Raw genomic sequence first — 16,770 nt, 5'->3', positions numbered from 1 at the left:
GACCAAACCTAAGAATAATCCGTGTTCCTGATGAAGAAGAGAATTCTAACAGCTTGGAAAACATAGTTGGGGGACTAATCAAGGAATACTTCCCCAGCGTTGCTAGAGACCTAGACATCCGAATACAAGAAGCACAAAGAACACATGGGAAATTTTTTGCAAAAAGATCATTGCCTAAGCATGTTGTCATCAGGTTATCCAAAGTTAAGATGAAGGAAAGAATCTTAAGAGCTAGGAGATAGAAACACCAGGTAACCTTTAAAGGAAAACCTATCAGATTAACAGTAGATTTCTTGGCAGAAACCTTACAGAACAGAAAGGATTGGGGCCCTATCTTCAGCTTCCTCAAATAAAATTATCAGCAAAGAATTTTGTATCTGGTGAAACTAAACATCATATATGAAGGAAAAATACTGTCATTTTCAGACAAACAAATGCTGAGAGAATTCGACACTACCAAGCCACCACTACAAGAACTGCTAAAAAGGAGCTCTAAATCTTGAAACAAATCCTGGAAACAAATCAAAACAGAACCTCTTTAAAGCATAAATCCCATAGGACCTATAAAAGAAAAATACATGTTAAAAAGCAAAACCAAAAAACCAAAGTACACAGGCAATAAAGAGCATGATGAATGCAATGGTATCTCTCATTTCAATACCAATATTGAATGTAAATGGCCTAAATGCTCCACATAAAAGATACAGAACAACAGAATGGATAAGAACTCACCAACCGACTATCTGCTGCCTTCAGGAGGCTCACCTAACACATAAGGACTCACATAAACTTAAAGGGGTGGAAAAAAGGCATTTCATGCAAATGGACACCAAAAGTGAGCAGGGGTAGCTATTCTTGTGTCAGACACAACAGACTTTAAAGCAACAGCAGTTAAAGGAGACAAAGAGGGACATTATAAAATGGTAAAAGGCCTTATCCAACAGGAAAAGATCACAATCTTAAACATATATGCACCTAACACTGGAGCTCCCAAATTTATAAAACAATTACTAATAGACCTAAGAAATGAGATAGCAACACAATAATACTGGGGGACTTCAGTACTCCACTGACAGCATGAGACAAGTCATCAGGATAGAAAGTCAACAAAGAAACAATGGATTTAAATTGTACCTTGGAACAAATGGACTTAACAGATATGTATAGACCATTTCATCCAACAACTGCAGAATACACATTCTATTCAACAGCACATAGAACTTTCTCCAAGACAGACCATGTATTAGGCCAAATGAGCCTTAATACATTAAAAAAATTGAAATTATATCAAGCACTCTCTCAGAGCACAGTGGAATGAAACTGGAAATCAACTACAAAAGCAACCTTCAAAAACATGGAAATTAAATATTCTGCTCCTGAATGAGCATTGAGTCAAAATCAAGATGGAAATAAAATTTCTTCAAATTGAATGACAATAATGACACAGCCTACCAAAACCTTTGGGATAAAGCAAAGGCAATGCTAAGAGGAAAGTACATAGCCCTAAAAGCCTATATCAAAAAGACTGAAAGAGCACAAACTGACATTCTAAGGTCACCCCTCAAAGAACTAGAGAAACAAGAACAAACCAAACCCAGACCCAGCAGAAGAAAGAAAATTACCAAGATCAGAGCACATCTAAATGAAGTTGAAACAAAAACAATACAAAAGATAAATGAAACAAAAAGCTGGCTCTTTGAAAAGATAAATAAAATTGACAGACCATTAACAAGATTAACCAAGAAGAGAGAAAATCCAAATAAACTCACTAAAAAATGAAGCAAGAGATATTATATCTAACACCACTCAAGTATAAACGATCATTCAAAGCTATTATGAACACCTTTACACACATTACCTAGAAAATCTAGAAGAGATGGATAAATTCCTGGGAAAATACAACCCTCCTTGCTTAAATCAGGAAGAATTAGATAACCTGAACAGACCAATAACAAACAGTGAGATTGAAATAGTAATTAAAAAATTATGGACAAAAAAGTCCAGGACCAGATGGATTCACAGCAGAATTCTACCAGATATTCAAAGAAGAATTGATACCAATGCTTTTGACACTATTCCACATGACAGAGAAAGAAGAAACCCTCCCTAATTCATTCTATGGAGCCAGCATCACCCTAATACCAAAACCAGGAAAGGACATAACAAAAAAGAAAACCAATATCCTTGATAAACATAGATGCTAAAATTCTTAACAAAATACTACCTAACTGAATCCAATAACATATCAAAAAGATAATTCTCCATGATTAAGTGGGTTTCATACCAGGGATGCAGGGATGGTTTAACATACACAAGTCAATAAATGTGATACACCACATAAACAGAATTAAAAACAAAAATCACATGATCATCTCAATAGATGCAGAAAAAGCATTAGACAAAATCCAGCATCGCTTTATGATTAAAACTCTCAGCAAAATCAGCATACAAGGGACATACCTTAATGTAATAGAAGCCATCTATGGCAAATCCACAACCAACACAATACTGAATGGGGAAAAGCTGAAAGCATTCCCTCTGAGAACTGGAATAAAACAAGGATGCCCACTCTTACCACTCCCTTTCAACATAGTACTGGAACTCCTAGCCAGAGCAATCAGACAAGAGAAAGAAATAAAGGGCATCCAAATTGGTAAAGAGGAAGTCAAACTGACACTGTTTGCTGATGATATGATCATTTACCTTGAAAACTCTAAAGACTCCTCCAGAAAGCTCCCAGAACTGATAAAAGAATTCAGCAAAGTTTCCAGATACAAGGTTAATCTACACAAATCAATAGCTCTTCTATACACCAACAGCAAGCAGAGAATCAAATCAAGAACTCAACTCCTTTTACAATAGCTGCAAAAAAATAAAAAATAAAAAAAATTTAGGAATATACCTAACCAAGGAGTCAAGAAACCTCTACAAAGAAAACTATAAAACACTGCTGAAAGAAATCATAGATGACACAAACAAATGGAAACATATCCCATGCTCATGGATGGGTAGAACGAATATTATGAAAATGACCATACTAGCAAAAGCAATCTACAAATCCAATGCAATCCCCATCAAAATATCACCATCATTCTTCACAGAATTAGAAAAGACAATTCTAAAATTCATATGAAACCAAAGAACAACCGACATAGCCAAAACAAGACTAAGCAAAAAGAACAAATCTTGAGGCATCACACTACCTGATTTCAAAGTATACTATACAGGCCATAGTCACCAAAACAGCATGGTACTGGTATAAAAATAGACACATAGACCAATGGAACAGTATAGGGAAACCAGAAATAAACCCAAGCACTGACAGCTAACCGATCTCTGACAAAGCAAAAAAGAAAAAGAAAAAAAAAAACCGTACAATGGGGAAAGGACACCCTTTTCAACAAATGGTGCTGGAATGATTGGCAAGCCACATGTAGGAGAATGAAACTGGATCCTCATCTCTCACCTTACACAAAAATCAACTCAAGATGGATTAAGGACTTAAACCTAAGACCTGAAACTATAAAAATTCTTGATAATAACGTTGGAAAAACCCTTCTAAACATTGGCTTAGACAAGGATTTCATGACCAAGAACCCAAAAGCAAATGCAATAAAAACAAAGATAAATAGCTAGGACCTAATTAAACTAAAGTGCTTTTGCATGGTAAAAGGAACAGTCAGCAGAGTAAACAGAAAACCCACAGAGTGGGAGAAAATCTTCACAATCTATACATCTGACAAAGGACTAATAGCCAGAATCTACAGTGAACTCAAACAAATCAGTAAAAAACCCCAAACAATCCCATTAAAAAGTGGGCTAAGGACATGAATAGACAATTCCCAAAAGAAGATATACAAATGGACATCAAACCTATGAAAAAATGCTCAGCATCACTAATGATCAGGGAAATGCAAATCAAAACCACAATGTGATACCCCCTTACTCCTGCAAGAATGGCCATGATAAAAAAATCAAAAAGCAGTAGATGTTGGTGTGGAAGTGGTAAACAGGGAACACTTCTACACTGCTGATGGGAATGTAAACTAGTACAGCCACTATGGAAAACAGTATGCAGAATCCTTAAAGAAGTAAAAGTAGAACTACCATTTGATCCAGCAATCCCACTACTGGGTATCTACCCAGAGGAAAAGGAGTCATTATTTGAAAAAGACACTTGCATACGCATGTTTATAGCAGCACAATTCACAATAGGAAAATCGTAGAACCAATCCAAATGCCCATCAATCAATGAATGGATAAAGAAACTGTGGTATATAAAAATGATGAAATACTATGCAGCCATAGAAAGGAATGAATTCACAGCATTTCGAGTGACCTGGATGAGATTAGAGACTATTATTCTAAGTGAAGTAACACAGGAATGGAAAACCAAATATTGTATGTTCTCACTGATATTTAAGAGCTAAGCTATGAGGACGCAAAGGTATGAGAATGATACAATGGACTATGGGGTCTTGGGAGGAAGGGTGGAAGTGGGTGAGGGATAAAAGACTACAAATACGGTGCAGTGTATACAGCTCAGGTGATGGGTGCATGCAAATCTTACAAATCACCACTAAAGAACTTAGTCATGTAACCAAATACCTCCTGTACCCCAATAACTTACAGGAAAAAACACTAACCATGCCAAAAAAAAAAGTTCAACCAGTTTCTTTATAGTTTCTTGTCTGTGTATTTTGGCATTTTTAGAGACATATATACAAGCCTTCTAAACAGTTAAATGTCTGCCCAGACTGTGAAGCTCAAACATGGTTTAAGTGCTCCAGGGATGTGATTACCAAAAATAATAACTAGATCACAATCATTAAAATGAAAAACTAAGCAGATGATGGGGGAAATTATGCAAAGAAGGGCAGGGCAGTAAAGCAAATACATCTCTTTTTGTAGATTGGATGTTTTTTGATCTTCATTTCTGTTTTATCAACAGCTGCATATCTTATTATTAGGGCAATTGAGGCTAAGAAGCCCTCTTCAAAATATATTAATTATGCGATGTTGATCAGACAATGAATTATCACAGATTATGCAGCTCTATTACATTCAGTAAAGCTAAGAAGAGCATTTGAATATGTTTCATCACACAAAGTGATGTAATAATAATTATTTGGGGATGGCAGTTTTGACATCATTATTAGCTTGAATATAGTCTCATTACCTCCAAGTGGCTCAGCAAAATATTAACTGAGCATCTGTGCGTACATGGCATTGTTCATTGTGGGTGTGTACTTTATACATGTTATCATATGTTGGGGCCTTCTTTGCCCAGGACCTAGTCCATAATAGGTACTCAATAAATGTTTGCTGATCCTGAAGTTGATCAGCCTTTGTCCTTCCTGGTAGAGATGGGAGGAGGGACACTTCTGTGAATTTATGAAGTGCTTTTAGGCAAATAGGGAGTGAGCAGAGAGCTTTTCTTGTATTTACTTCTTAATTGGCTTCAGTTCAAAATAATTTTTATGCCAAAGTGGCATATTTTGGGGTGGCATTTTCCTACCCTTCATGCCTAAGTTTACAACTAACATACCAAAGTTTAAAGGTGAATGTAATGGTTAATACTGAGTGTCAACTTTATTGGATTTAAGAATGCAAAGTATTGATCCTGGGTGTGTCTTTGAGGGTGTTGTCAAAGGAGATTAACATTTGAGTCAGTGGGCTAGGGAAGACAGACCCACCCTAAATCTGGTGAGCAAAATCTAATCAGCTGCTAGGAAATATAAAGCAGGCAGAAAATGTGAAAAGGTGAGACTGGCCTAGGCTCCCAGCCTACATCTTTCTCCCATGCTGGATGCTTCCTGCCCTCAAACATCAGCTCCAAGTTCCTCAGTTTTGAGACTCAGACTGGCTCTCCTTGCTCCTCAAGGTTTCAGACAGCCTATTGTGGAATGCTGTGATCAGGTAAGTTAATACTTAATAAACTCCTCTTTTTATATCTATCTATCCTATTAGTTCTGTCCCTCCAGAGAACCCTGACTAATACAGGTTTTGGTACCAGGAGTGGTTCTAGAGGAACAGAATATTAAAGATGGAGTTCTTTTGTCGGTTTTGGGGTTTCTGTAGTTGGCTACTTCATATGATTGGACACCAAAATTCTAAGGCCTCTACTTCTAATAGTATGGAGAATGCTGATAGTACTTGGTGTGAACTGATTAGAGAGTTACACAAAATAAATGCATTTGACACTCCTGATTCACTGCTTGTGAGAGGCAAGGAGTTTAGTGACTCTATACATAATACCTCTGACCATATGTGGAGAATCAAGGAACATAATGGGGCTGGTTGGTTGCTCCTAAGTTCAGTAGATAATGTCGTGAAAAAAATGATGAACTCAGGGATTCTATCTCCTGGATTCAGAAGCAGATACTGAGCCTCAAATCTGCTAAGATTGCCCTGAGTGAGAGTCTTATCTCCTATAGAGACAGAGCTGAAGTTGTGGAAAAACAGACACAAGCTCTTATCATCCAAGTGGCTGACCTGCAATGAAAAGTGCATGCACAGCCTCGCCAGGTGTCTACTGTTAAAGTGAGGTCATTGATTGGAAAAGAATGACACCCTGCAACTGGGAATGGGGATATATGGGAGGACACTGGTGAAGCTGGGGACACTGAGTTTGTAAACTCTGTTGGACCATTTTTGCCAGAAGAAACAGCTTTCCCATCCCCAGTAATGGCAACATCCCCTCCCCGACCCATGCTGCCATCAGCTTTTCCACTTTTGTCTGAGGAGATAAATCCTGTGTTGCCTGAGGCAAAAGTGTTGTCCTCCCCTGAATCAGTTGCCAGGCAAAATAATGTTGATTCTCCTTAAGAGCCACCCCCAACACTCCTGTTTGCTTCTAAACCTATAACTAAAGTCCCAGTGGGCCCCTAGAGGTGAGATTGAGAGTGTGACCCATGAGGAGGTGTGCTACACTCAAAAAGAACTGCTTGAGTTTTCTAATTTATATAAACAGAAATCTGGAGAACAGGCATGGGAAAGGATATTAAGGGTGTGGGATAATGGTGGAAGGAACATAGAGTTGGATCAGGCTGAATTTATTGATTTTGGCCCACTAAGTAGGGACTCTTCATTTAGTGTTGCAGCTCAGGGAGTCAAAAAAGGTTCTAATAGTTTACTTGCTTGGTTAGCTGAAATACAGATTAAAAGATGGCCCACTGTGAGCCAGCTAGAAATGCCTGAGCTTCCTTGGTTTAATGTACAGGAAGGGATCCAAAGGCTTAGGGAGATTGGGATGGTGGAGTGGATTAGTCACTTTAGACCTACTCATCCCAGCTGGGAGCTTGAAGAAGATATACCCTTGACAAATGCCTTGCAAAATAGACTTGTGAGGGCAGCACCTGTATCACTGAAGAGCTTTGTAATTGCTCTTCCCTGTATGTCAGATCTAACAGTGGGAACCACAATCACTCCACTACAAAATTTAAATATAATGGGAATAATTGGATCCCAGGGTGGCAGGGGCCAAGTGGCAGCACTCAACCATCAAAGGCAAGAGGGGCATAGCTACTGAAATGGACAGCAGAGGCACAGTGACAATCAGAATAGTCTGACTCCTGTAGAGTTCTGACATTGGCTAATTAATCATGGTGTTCCTAGAAGTAAAATTGATAGGAAGCCCACTGCATTCTTGCTTAATTTATATAAACAGAAAACTTCTAGGTCCAATGGATGAAAAGCTAATTTGAATTATAAAAACAGAGAATCATGGCCCATCAATAAATTTTTGGGCTTGAGCCAGTTTACAGACCCACAACCCCTTGAAAGAAGGGGAGGCTGGGTCACCTTGTGTAAGGACCCCATATTACTGAAATTTATGCAGTGAATCTTTCTCCCATCCTTCCCTAAGGAGACCTCCAGCCTTATACCAGGGTAGCTGTGCACTGGGGAAAGGGAAATGATCAGACATTTCAGGGACTACTGGACACTGGCTCTGAGCTGACATTGATTCCAGAGGACCCAAAATGTCATTGTGGTCCCCAGTTAAAGTAGAGGCTTATGAAGGTCAGGTAATTAATGGAGCTTTAGCTCAGGTCTGATTTACAGTGGGTCCAGTGGGCCCTTGGACTCTTCTTTTGGTCATTTCCCTAGTGCCAGAATGCATAATAGGCATAGACATATTAAGTGGCTGGCAGAATCCCTGCACTGGCTCCCTGACTGGTAGGGTGAGGGCTATTATGGTGGGAAAGGCCAAATGGAAGCCATTAAAGCTGCCTCTACTTAGAAAAATAGTAAATTGAAAACAATATTGCATCCCTGGGGGGACTTCAGAGATTAGTGCCACCATCAAGGACTTGAAAGATGCAGAGGTGGTAATTCCCACCACATCCCCATTCAACTCTCCCATGTGGTCTGTGCAGAAAACAGATGGATCTTGGAGAATGACAGTGGATTATTGTAAGCTTAACCAAGTGGTGACTCCAATTGCAGCTGCTGTACCAGATGTGGTTTCATTGCTTGAACAAATTAACATATTTCCTAGTACCAAATATGCAGCCATTGACTTGGCAAATGCCTATTTCTCCATTCCTGTCCATAAGGCCCACCAGAAGCAATTTGCCTTCAGCTGGAAAGGCCAGCAATATACCTTTACTGTCCTACCTCAGGGATATACCAACTCTCCCGCTTTGTGTCATAATATTATTTAGAGAGGTCTTCATCACTTTTCGCTTCCACAAGATATTACACTGGTCCCTTACATTGATGACATTATTTTGATTGGATCCAGTGAACGAGAAGTAGCAAACACACTGGACTTATTGGTGAGACATTTGCATGCAGAGGATAGGAAATAAATCTGACTAAAATTCAGGGAACTTCTACCTTAGTAAAATTTCTAGGGGTCCAGTGGTGTGGGGCCTGTCGAGATATTCCTTCTAAGGTAAAGGATAAGTTGCTGCATTTGGCCCCTTCTACAACCAAGGCAGAGGCACAACACCTAGTGGGTCTATTTGGATTTTGGAGGCAACGTGTTCCTCATTTGGGTGTGTTACTCTGCCTCATGTTTCAAGTGACCTGAAAGGCTGCCAGTTTTGAGTGGGGCCCAGAACGGGAGAAGGCTCTGCAACAGTTCCAGGCTGCTGTGTAAGCTGTTCTGCTCTGCCACTTGGGCCATATGACCCAGCAGATCCAATGGTGCTGGAGGTCAGTGGCAGATAGGAATGCTGTTTAGAGCCTTTGGCAGGCTCCCATAGGTGAATCACAGTGGAGGCCTCTAGGATTTTGGAGGATGGCCCTATCAACTTCTGCAGATAACTACTCTCCTTTTGAGATACAGCTCTTGGCCTGTTACTAGGCTTTGGTGGAAACTGAACATTTGACTACAGGTCATCAAGTCACCATGAGACCTGAATTGCCTATCATGAACTTGGTGCTTGCTGACCCATCTAGCCATAAAATGGGTCATGTACAGCAGCATTTCATCATCAAATGGAAGTGATATATACGTGATCAAGCTCAAGAAGGCTGTGAAGGCACAAGTAAGTTACATGAGGAAATGGCTCAAATGCCCGTGGTCTCCACTGCTGCCACCCTGCCTTCTCTTCCCCAGCCCGCACCGATGGCCTCATGGGGAGCTCCCTATGATCAGTTGACAGAGGAAGAGAAGACCAGGGCCAGGTTCACAGATGGCTCTGTATGATATGCAGGCACCACCTAAAAGTGAACAGCTGTAGCACTACGGCCCCTTTCTAGGACATTCCTGAAGGACAATGGTGAAGGGAAATCTTCCCAGTGGGCAGAACTTTGAGCAATGCAACTGGTTGTGCACTTGGCATGGAAGGAGAAATGGCCAGATGTTCAATTATATACTGATTCATGGGCTGTAGCCAATAGTTTGGCTGGATGGTCAGGGTCTTGGAAGAAGCATGATTGGAAAATTGGTGACAAAGAAATCTGGGGAATAGTTATGTGGCTGGTCCTCTCCAACTGGTCAAAAGCTGTGAAGATATTTGTATCCCATGTGAGTGCTCACCAAGGGGTGACCTCAGTAGAGGAGGATTTTAATAATAAAGTGGGTAGGATGACCCATTCTGTGGACACCACTCAGCGTCTTACCCCAGCCACCCCTGTTATCGCCCAATGGACCCATGAACAAAGTGGCCATGGTGGCAGGAATGGAGGATACACATAGGCTCAGCAACATGGACTTCCACTAACCAAGGCTGACCAGGCTATGGCCACTGCTGAGTGCCCTATTTGCCAGCAGCAGAGACCAACACTGAGACCTTGATATGGCACCACTCTTTGGGGTGATCAGCTAGCTACCTGGCGGCAGATTATATTGGACCTCTTCCATCTTGGAAAGGGCAGAGGTTTGTCCTCACTGGAATAGACACTTACTCCAGATATGGGTTTGCCTATCCTGCATGCAGTGCTTCTGCCAAGACTACCATCCGTGGACTCATGGAATGCCTTATCCACGGTCATGGTATTTCACAGAGCATTGCCTCTGACCAAGGCACTCACTTTACAGCTAAAGAAGTGAGGCAGTGGGCTCATGCTCATGGAATTCACTGATTCACTGCTCTTACCATGTTCCCCATTATCTTGAAGCAGCTGGATTGATAGAACGGTGGAATGGCCTTTTGAAGTCACAATTACAATGCCAACTTGGTGACAATACTTTGTAGGGCTGCGGCAAAATTCTCTAGAAGGCCATGTATGCTTTGAATCAGTGTCCAATACGTGATACTGTTTCTCCCATAGCCAGGATTCATGGGTCCCGGAATCAAGGGGTGGAAGTGGAAGTGGCACCACTCACAATCACCCTTAGTGACCCACTAGCAACATTTTTGCTTTCTGTTCCCATGACATTATGTTCTGCTGGCCTAGAGGTCTTAGTTCCAGAGAGAGGAATGCTGCCACCAGGAGACGCAACAATGATTTCATTAAACTGGAAGTTACAGTTGCCATCTGGACACTTTATGCTCCTCCTACCTTTAAGTCAACAGAGTAAGAAAAGAGTTACAGTATTGAGTGGGGTGATTGACTCAGGCTATCAAGATGAAATCACTCTACTACTCCATAACTGAGGTAAGGAAGAGTGTGCGTGGAATACAGGAGATCCATTAGGGCATCTCTTAATGTTACCATGCATGCCCTGTGATTAAGGTCAATGGGAAACTACAACAGTCCAATCCAGGCAGGACTGCAAATGGTCCAGATCCTTCAGGAATGAAGGTTTGGGTCACTCCACCAGGAAAAAAACCATGACCTGCTGAGGTGCTTGCTGAAGGCAAAGGGAATACAGAATTGTCAGTAGAAGAAGGTAGTCATCAATGCCAGCTATTACCATGTGACCAGTTGCAGAAACAAGGACTGTAATTATCATGAGTATTCCTCATTCTTTTGTTAAAAACATGTTTGTGCAGGTATACTCTTGTACTAAGAAAATATCTTCATTTTATTTCTTTTATCCTTTATCATGTGACAAGATTTATTGAGTTTACATCAGCATTTAAATATCATTAACTTTACGTAATAGTATTTGAGTTGGGGATTGGTGTGTTTCCGGTTGTATGAAAGATAGTTGTATTATAATCTTATTGTTGTCTTTATTTGAAGATTATATATGATCTGAGGAGGTGTGTGTGGGTTCAAGTTGACAAGGGGTAGACTTGTGATGGTTAATACTGACTGTCAACTTGACTGGATTGAAGGATGCAAACTACTGATCCTGGGTGTGTCTGTGAGGGTATTTCCAAAGGAGATTAACATTTGAGCCAGTGGGCTGGGGAAGGCAGATGCACCCTAATCTGGTGGGCACAATCTAATTAGCGCCAGCAAATATAAAGCAGGCAGAAAAATGTGAAAAGCAGAGACTGGCCTAGCCTCCCAGCCTACATCTTTCTCCCATCCTGGATACCTTCTGCCCTCAAACATCAGACTCCAAGTTCTTCTGTTTTGAGACTCAGACTGACTCTCCTTGCTCCTCAAGCTTTCAGACAGCCTATTGTGGGAACTTGTGATCATGTGAGTTAATACTTAATGAACTCCCCTTTATATATATTTATATATCTATCCTATTAATTCTGTCTCTCCAGAGAACCCTAACTAATACAGTGAATAATCCTTGACTAGGGATAATTATACTGCAGATTAGCAGTCAATACCTCAAGAATCCTTACAGGCAACAGACAAAAATCTTTATTTGGCATCTACCATGTTTAAAGTACTGTGTCAGTCCATTTGGGACAAGGGATGGAGTGGTAGAAAGAAATACTCCTTATTACCTAATTTCATGTAAATTTTTCTGCTAGTAGAGTTTGAAGTATCCCAGACACACTAAATTGAAGATCTCAGGCTATTTTCCCAAAAGTGGCTATCTGAGTTCTCTATCTCAGCAAATCATTTTCCAAGTGTCTGGGCCAAGTGTCTGGGAATTTTCCTAGACTCCCCTCTCTCCTTTATTGCCCATATCCAATTGGTCATCCATCTGCAATTCAAATGATTCCTTCCCTTGAGTGTAGACTGTGCTAATAATGTATTATTTTCAGTCTTCATCAGGTTTTGCCTAATTGTTAAGATAACCTTTTTACTTATAGCTGTCCTTAGTTTCATACCCATGGTCCTTCCACACTGGGTCAGAGGGAGTTTTTCTCAAAGCCAAGAGCCATTACCCCTCTTAAAGTCTTTCTAAAACTCTTAAAAGCTTATAGTTGCTATGCTTACATTACTTTAGCAGGCAAATTCCATCTAACTCAGATATAAACACTTCATCAATTACTGGGCATTCACTCTTCCTCAGGCCACATGGTCACCAAACTATGGTGGGCCATACATCCTTTTTTGCCCAGAATGATCCCAATTTATGCCCTCTGTCCCTGAGTAATTATTAGTAATGCATCTGAAATGTTTCGATGATAAATTATATGGCCACCCTAAGTACTATAGACTTGTTAAAAGAGGTTTTTGAGAACTATCTGGTAAGGATAGCCTGGAGATAAATAAACCAGAGTTCTATATCTCTTATCTAAAATTCTTGGATGTGTCATAAATTAGAATTATTCTTATTTTAGAAAGGAAATACAATGCATTATTATGTATTACATAATATCCCCAGCAGGGTCTAAGGAAGTACTCCTTAATCAAGCATATGACTATTGCTGTAGAGAAGTATATGAATGTAGGAACTTTTTTCCCTAAGAGAGCAATATAAAGACTGTTTAGGGCAAGATTTGATGCTAAACAATTATGAAAAACATATTTTGTTTTCAGAGCTTTTCAGATTTGGGAATACAGAAATTTTGGACCTGTACTTAGTGGTGGGAGCTAGAAAGGATTCTTTGTCCTCTCTAATCTTTGTTTTACTTATTTGTAAAATAATAATAATAATTGTACTTCTAATACAGTTGTTGTGAGAATAAAATGAGATAGTTACATAACTGGGCTTAGTGAAAGGCCTGATACAAAATGCTCAATTAATTGTAGTTATTTTTATGAACTGCATTCTGTTCTTACCTAATCCAAAGGTAGGAATGCCAAATTATCTGAAGGCACAAAGCAAGTTAAGAAAATGTGATGACTGTGGGATCGGAAGCCTGATGTTTTTCATCTGCCTAACCTAAATTATTTTCCTCAGAAACTGCTTATATCTCTCCACTGCATTATGAATAGAACAAAGGCTTTCTATTCACCATTGTATCTCAAGGGCCTAGTACTCTTTCTGGCACATAAGTAGTATCTCAGTAAATAGTGATTGATTGAGTGAATAAAGCCTATGAGATCCCTACAAAATATCACATTCAAAGATGCTTTGAGCATAGACATATTTGGGAAAGACCAAAATATATCAGGCCACAGTATTTTTCATCATAATACTCAGGAAATTCTACCACACTGTTGTGTTTTTTTTTTTTTTTTGAGACAGAGTCTCACTCTGTCACCCAGGCTGTAGTGCAGTGGCATGATCTCGGCTCACTGCAATCTCCGCCTCCCAGGTTCAAGTGATTCTTCTGCCTCCGCCTCCCGAGTAGCTGGGATTACAGGCACATGCCACCACACCTGGCTAATTTTTGTATTTTTAGTAGAGATGGGTTTCACCATGTTGGCCAGGCTGGTCTCAAACTCCTGACCTCAGGCATGATCTGCCTGCCTCAGCCTCCCAAAGTGCTGGGATTACAGGTGTGAGCCACTGCACCTGGCCACACTGTTCCTTTTTGTTTTTGCCACATGAAACCTTTGCATCTATTCCTCCATTTACCTGCCGCACTCCCCAGCAGGGTATGCTAGTGCTGAAGGGCCCTGGCAGGTCCTATAGGAATGTCCCTGCTTTTAATGCCATCTAAAACAGAGGAGCGAATGCTCTAGGAATTAAGCTCACCCATTACTCGCTGTAGTTTTTAGGACCTAAAATGTCAATGATTTTTTAAAAAGTCTTATTTTCCTTAATTTCCAAAAAAATAAATTTTCTCAAATTTTCCCTTTCAAATCTGTAAAATGTTTTAAAAATAATTTGGCAAACCAACTTTTATTCTCACTTGAAGACTTTTTCCTTCAATACCTTTAAAATCATCATCATGAACTAAAAGTCATCCCTTACGTGTTCAAAGTACAATGGCGTGACTGGAAATAATATATGCCCTTTTATAATTGAACAAGTGGCTTTAAATGCAATTTGGATCTTGCCCATGAGATGTGTAAATTTTTGGTTATAGTAACTTAATAGGATTTAAAACTCCCTAAGGGAAGATATGTTGTGTGTCTTCAATAGTTTACTTATAATTCTGAAAGTCAAAAATTCTGAAAACTCTTAAGTTTTCTCATTTGGTTTTGAAACTTGATTTGAGCTTATTTTATGGCATAAATTAAATGTGAGGCTCTTTTGGCCTTTATCTCATTCATATGAATGTTTACATATTAAGTGGTGGAAATATTAATATGTTTGAACATGAATGCTTCCCAGACCTACTGGGGTGTTACTTAATACAAGGTAAATGGGCGGTATTACCTCCATAAAATTAGAAAAATTCTGCATTCTGAAATACATCAGCCCAATGGGTGTCAGGCTGTGGCCCTATGTTACCATTAGGTTTATTTTGGGAAGTATTATCAATGAGAGAATCATGTGTGCAATTTCCAAATATATATTTATAACAAGGGCTGGGTCTAAATGTGACTAATGTTGGAGCTAGCTGCACCATTCTGGATTATTTTCTTGAAGTTTTCTATGTATTAAGGGAATGGTGTACCTGTGTTGAGCCTTGAAATCTGTTCTAAAAGTATTTTGGATGCTCAAACAAAAAAGTTAAGAGCTAAGTTCAGAGCTGTGTCCAATATTTATTGGCTTCTGGACTGAATTAACAGAATTAACGTTTACAGTTGATTGTAATTACAGCAATGCTGTATCTTTACATATTTTTCCTTATTGTAGATAGAGTTTATTAGTCCATGTCCTCACGAGATAACCCACCCACTGCAATCCTTTTTCTTTTTTAGTTTTGGAGACATAGTCTCGCTCTGTTGCCCAGCCTGGAGTGCAGTGGTGCAATCTCGGCTCACTGCGACGTCTGCCTCCTGAGTTCAAGCAATTCTCCCACCTCAGCCTCCTGAGTAGTTGGGACTACAGGTGCATGCCACCATGCCTGGCTAATTTTTTTGTATTTTTAGTAGAGACAGGGTTTTACCATGTTGGTCAGGCTGGTCTCAAACTCCTGACCTCAGGAGTTTGCCTGCCTCAGCCTTCCAAAGTGCTGGGATTACAAGCACAAGCCACTGTGCCTGGCCCAGTGCTTTTTCTTATACCAAGATTATCACTGGTAAGAGAAGAAGGATTCAGAGTATTTCAGACCCAATCTAGAGAACTCTTCCTGGCATCATGGTTAAAAGGTGGCAAGGAAGAGAAAGGGGAAAAGAACTAATATAACTGAGCATCTCCAATGGGACATACACTTTGTCTTATCTGCCGCTAACAATATAATCATTTAAAGGAAGAATCATTATCCTTAGTTTACATCTAAAGGAAATGGAGGTTCAGGAATATTGCATAACTTGACCAATTTCCCGGAGACATAAGCTAGAGTGCCTGGACTAGAATCCATGTCTGTATAACTCCAGAGCCCATGCTCTTCCCAAAGCTCATGCAGCCCTCCCTAGAGAAGAAAAGCAACCCAAAGCCAGAAATAACTGAAACTATCACAACACGGAGGTACTTCTCACTAAAACTTAATTAGCCATTTTTGTCCTTTGCTAAGGATGTAATATTCTAAAAACAGACAGAAATGAAGACTTTTTAGGACACCTACATTGTCAACCATAAGTGCGGCTCTTAGCAACCTCTATCTCAACAATATCCGACACCCCTTCCCTGCCTCTTTGTAAAGCAAGACTAATTTAAAACAAAAACTTAGGGAGAGGAAATGTGATGTGCCAAATCTAATGCATTTTGAAACAGAATGTGGAACACATATGCCTAGGGTTTCCTTAAGAGTTTATATTATAAAGTGTTTATATTTTAGTCTTTGTTTTCTGGCACTTGTTAAATAACAATCAAGCTATAGCTGCTCTAGGAAGATGAGATGGCCAGAAGAGAGTCACATACCAGAAAAAGGAAAGTTAAAAGTATCACCTGTTTTATTTTTCTTGCTCTGCAATTTATGTAGAAATGTGCCTCATGCCAAGAGAGACAAATTATAAAAACGTTGCCCCTTATTTAGCAACTCAAGGAGATAGGTTTGTGCATCGCCTTCCCTCCCTTCCCCTGCCACCCAATACACAAACACATCCACTTATACACACACTGCAACAGTTTCT

General features: G+C 39.8%; 1 annotated feature.

The window, feature by feature from the left end:
* Positions 16,315-16,515: a silencer, noted in NCBI's record as "peak3900 fragment used in MPRA reporter construct". NCBI's record gives its function as "represses an SCP1 promoter by STARR-seq MPRAs in K562 erythroleukemia cells {active_cell/tissue: K562}" and the evidence as "EXISTENCE:reporter gene assay evidence [ECO:0000049][PMID:32103011]".

Source organism: Homo sapiens, chromosome 2 (assembly GCF_000001405.40).
Source record: "Homo sapiens chromosome 2, GRCh38.p14 Primary Assembly".
In the NCBI taxonomy this organism is placed as follows: domain Eukaryota; kingdom Metazoa; phylum Chordata; class Mammalia; order Primates; family Hominidae; genus Homo; species Homo sapiens.
This window is presented reverse-complemented; position numbering and strand designations above follow the sequence as displayed.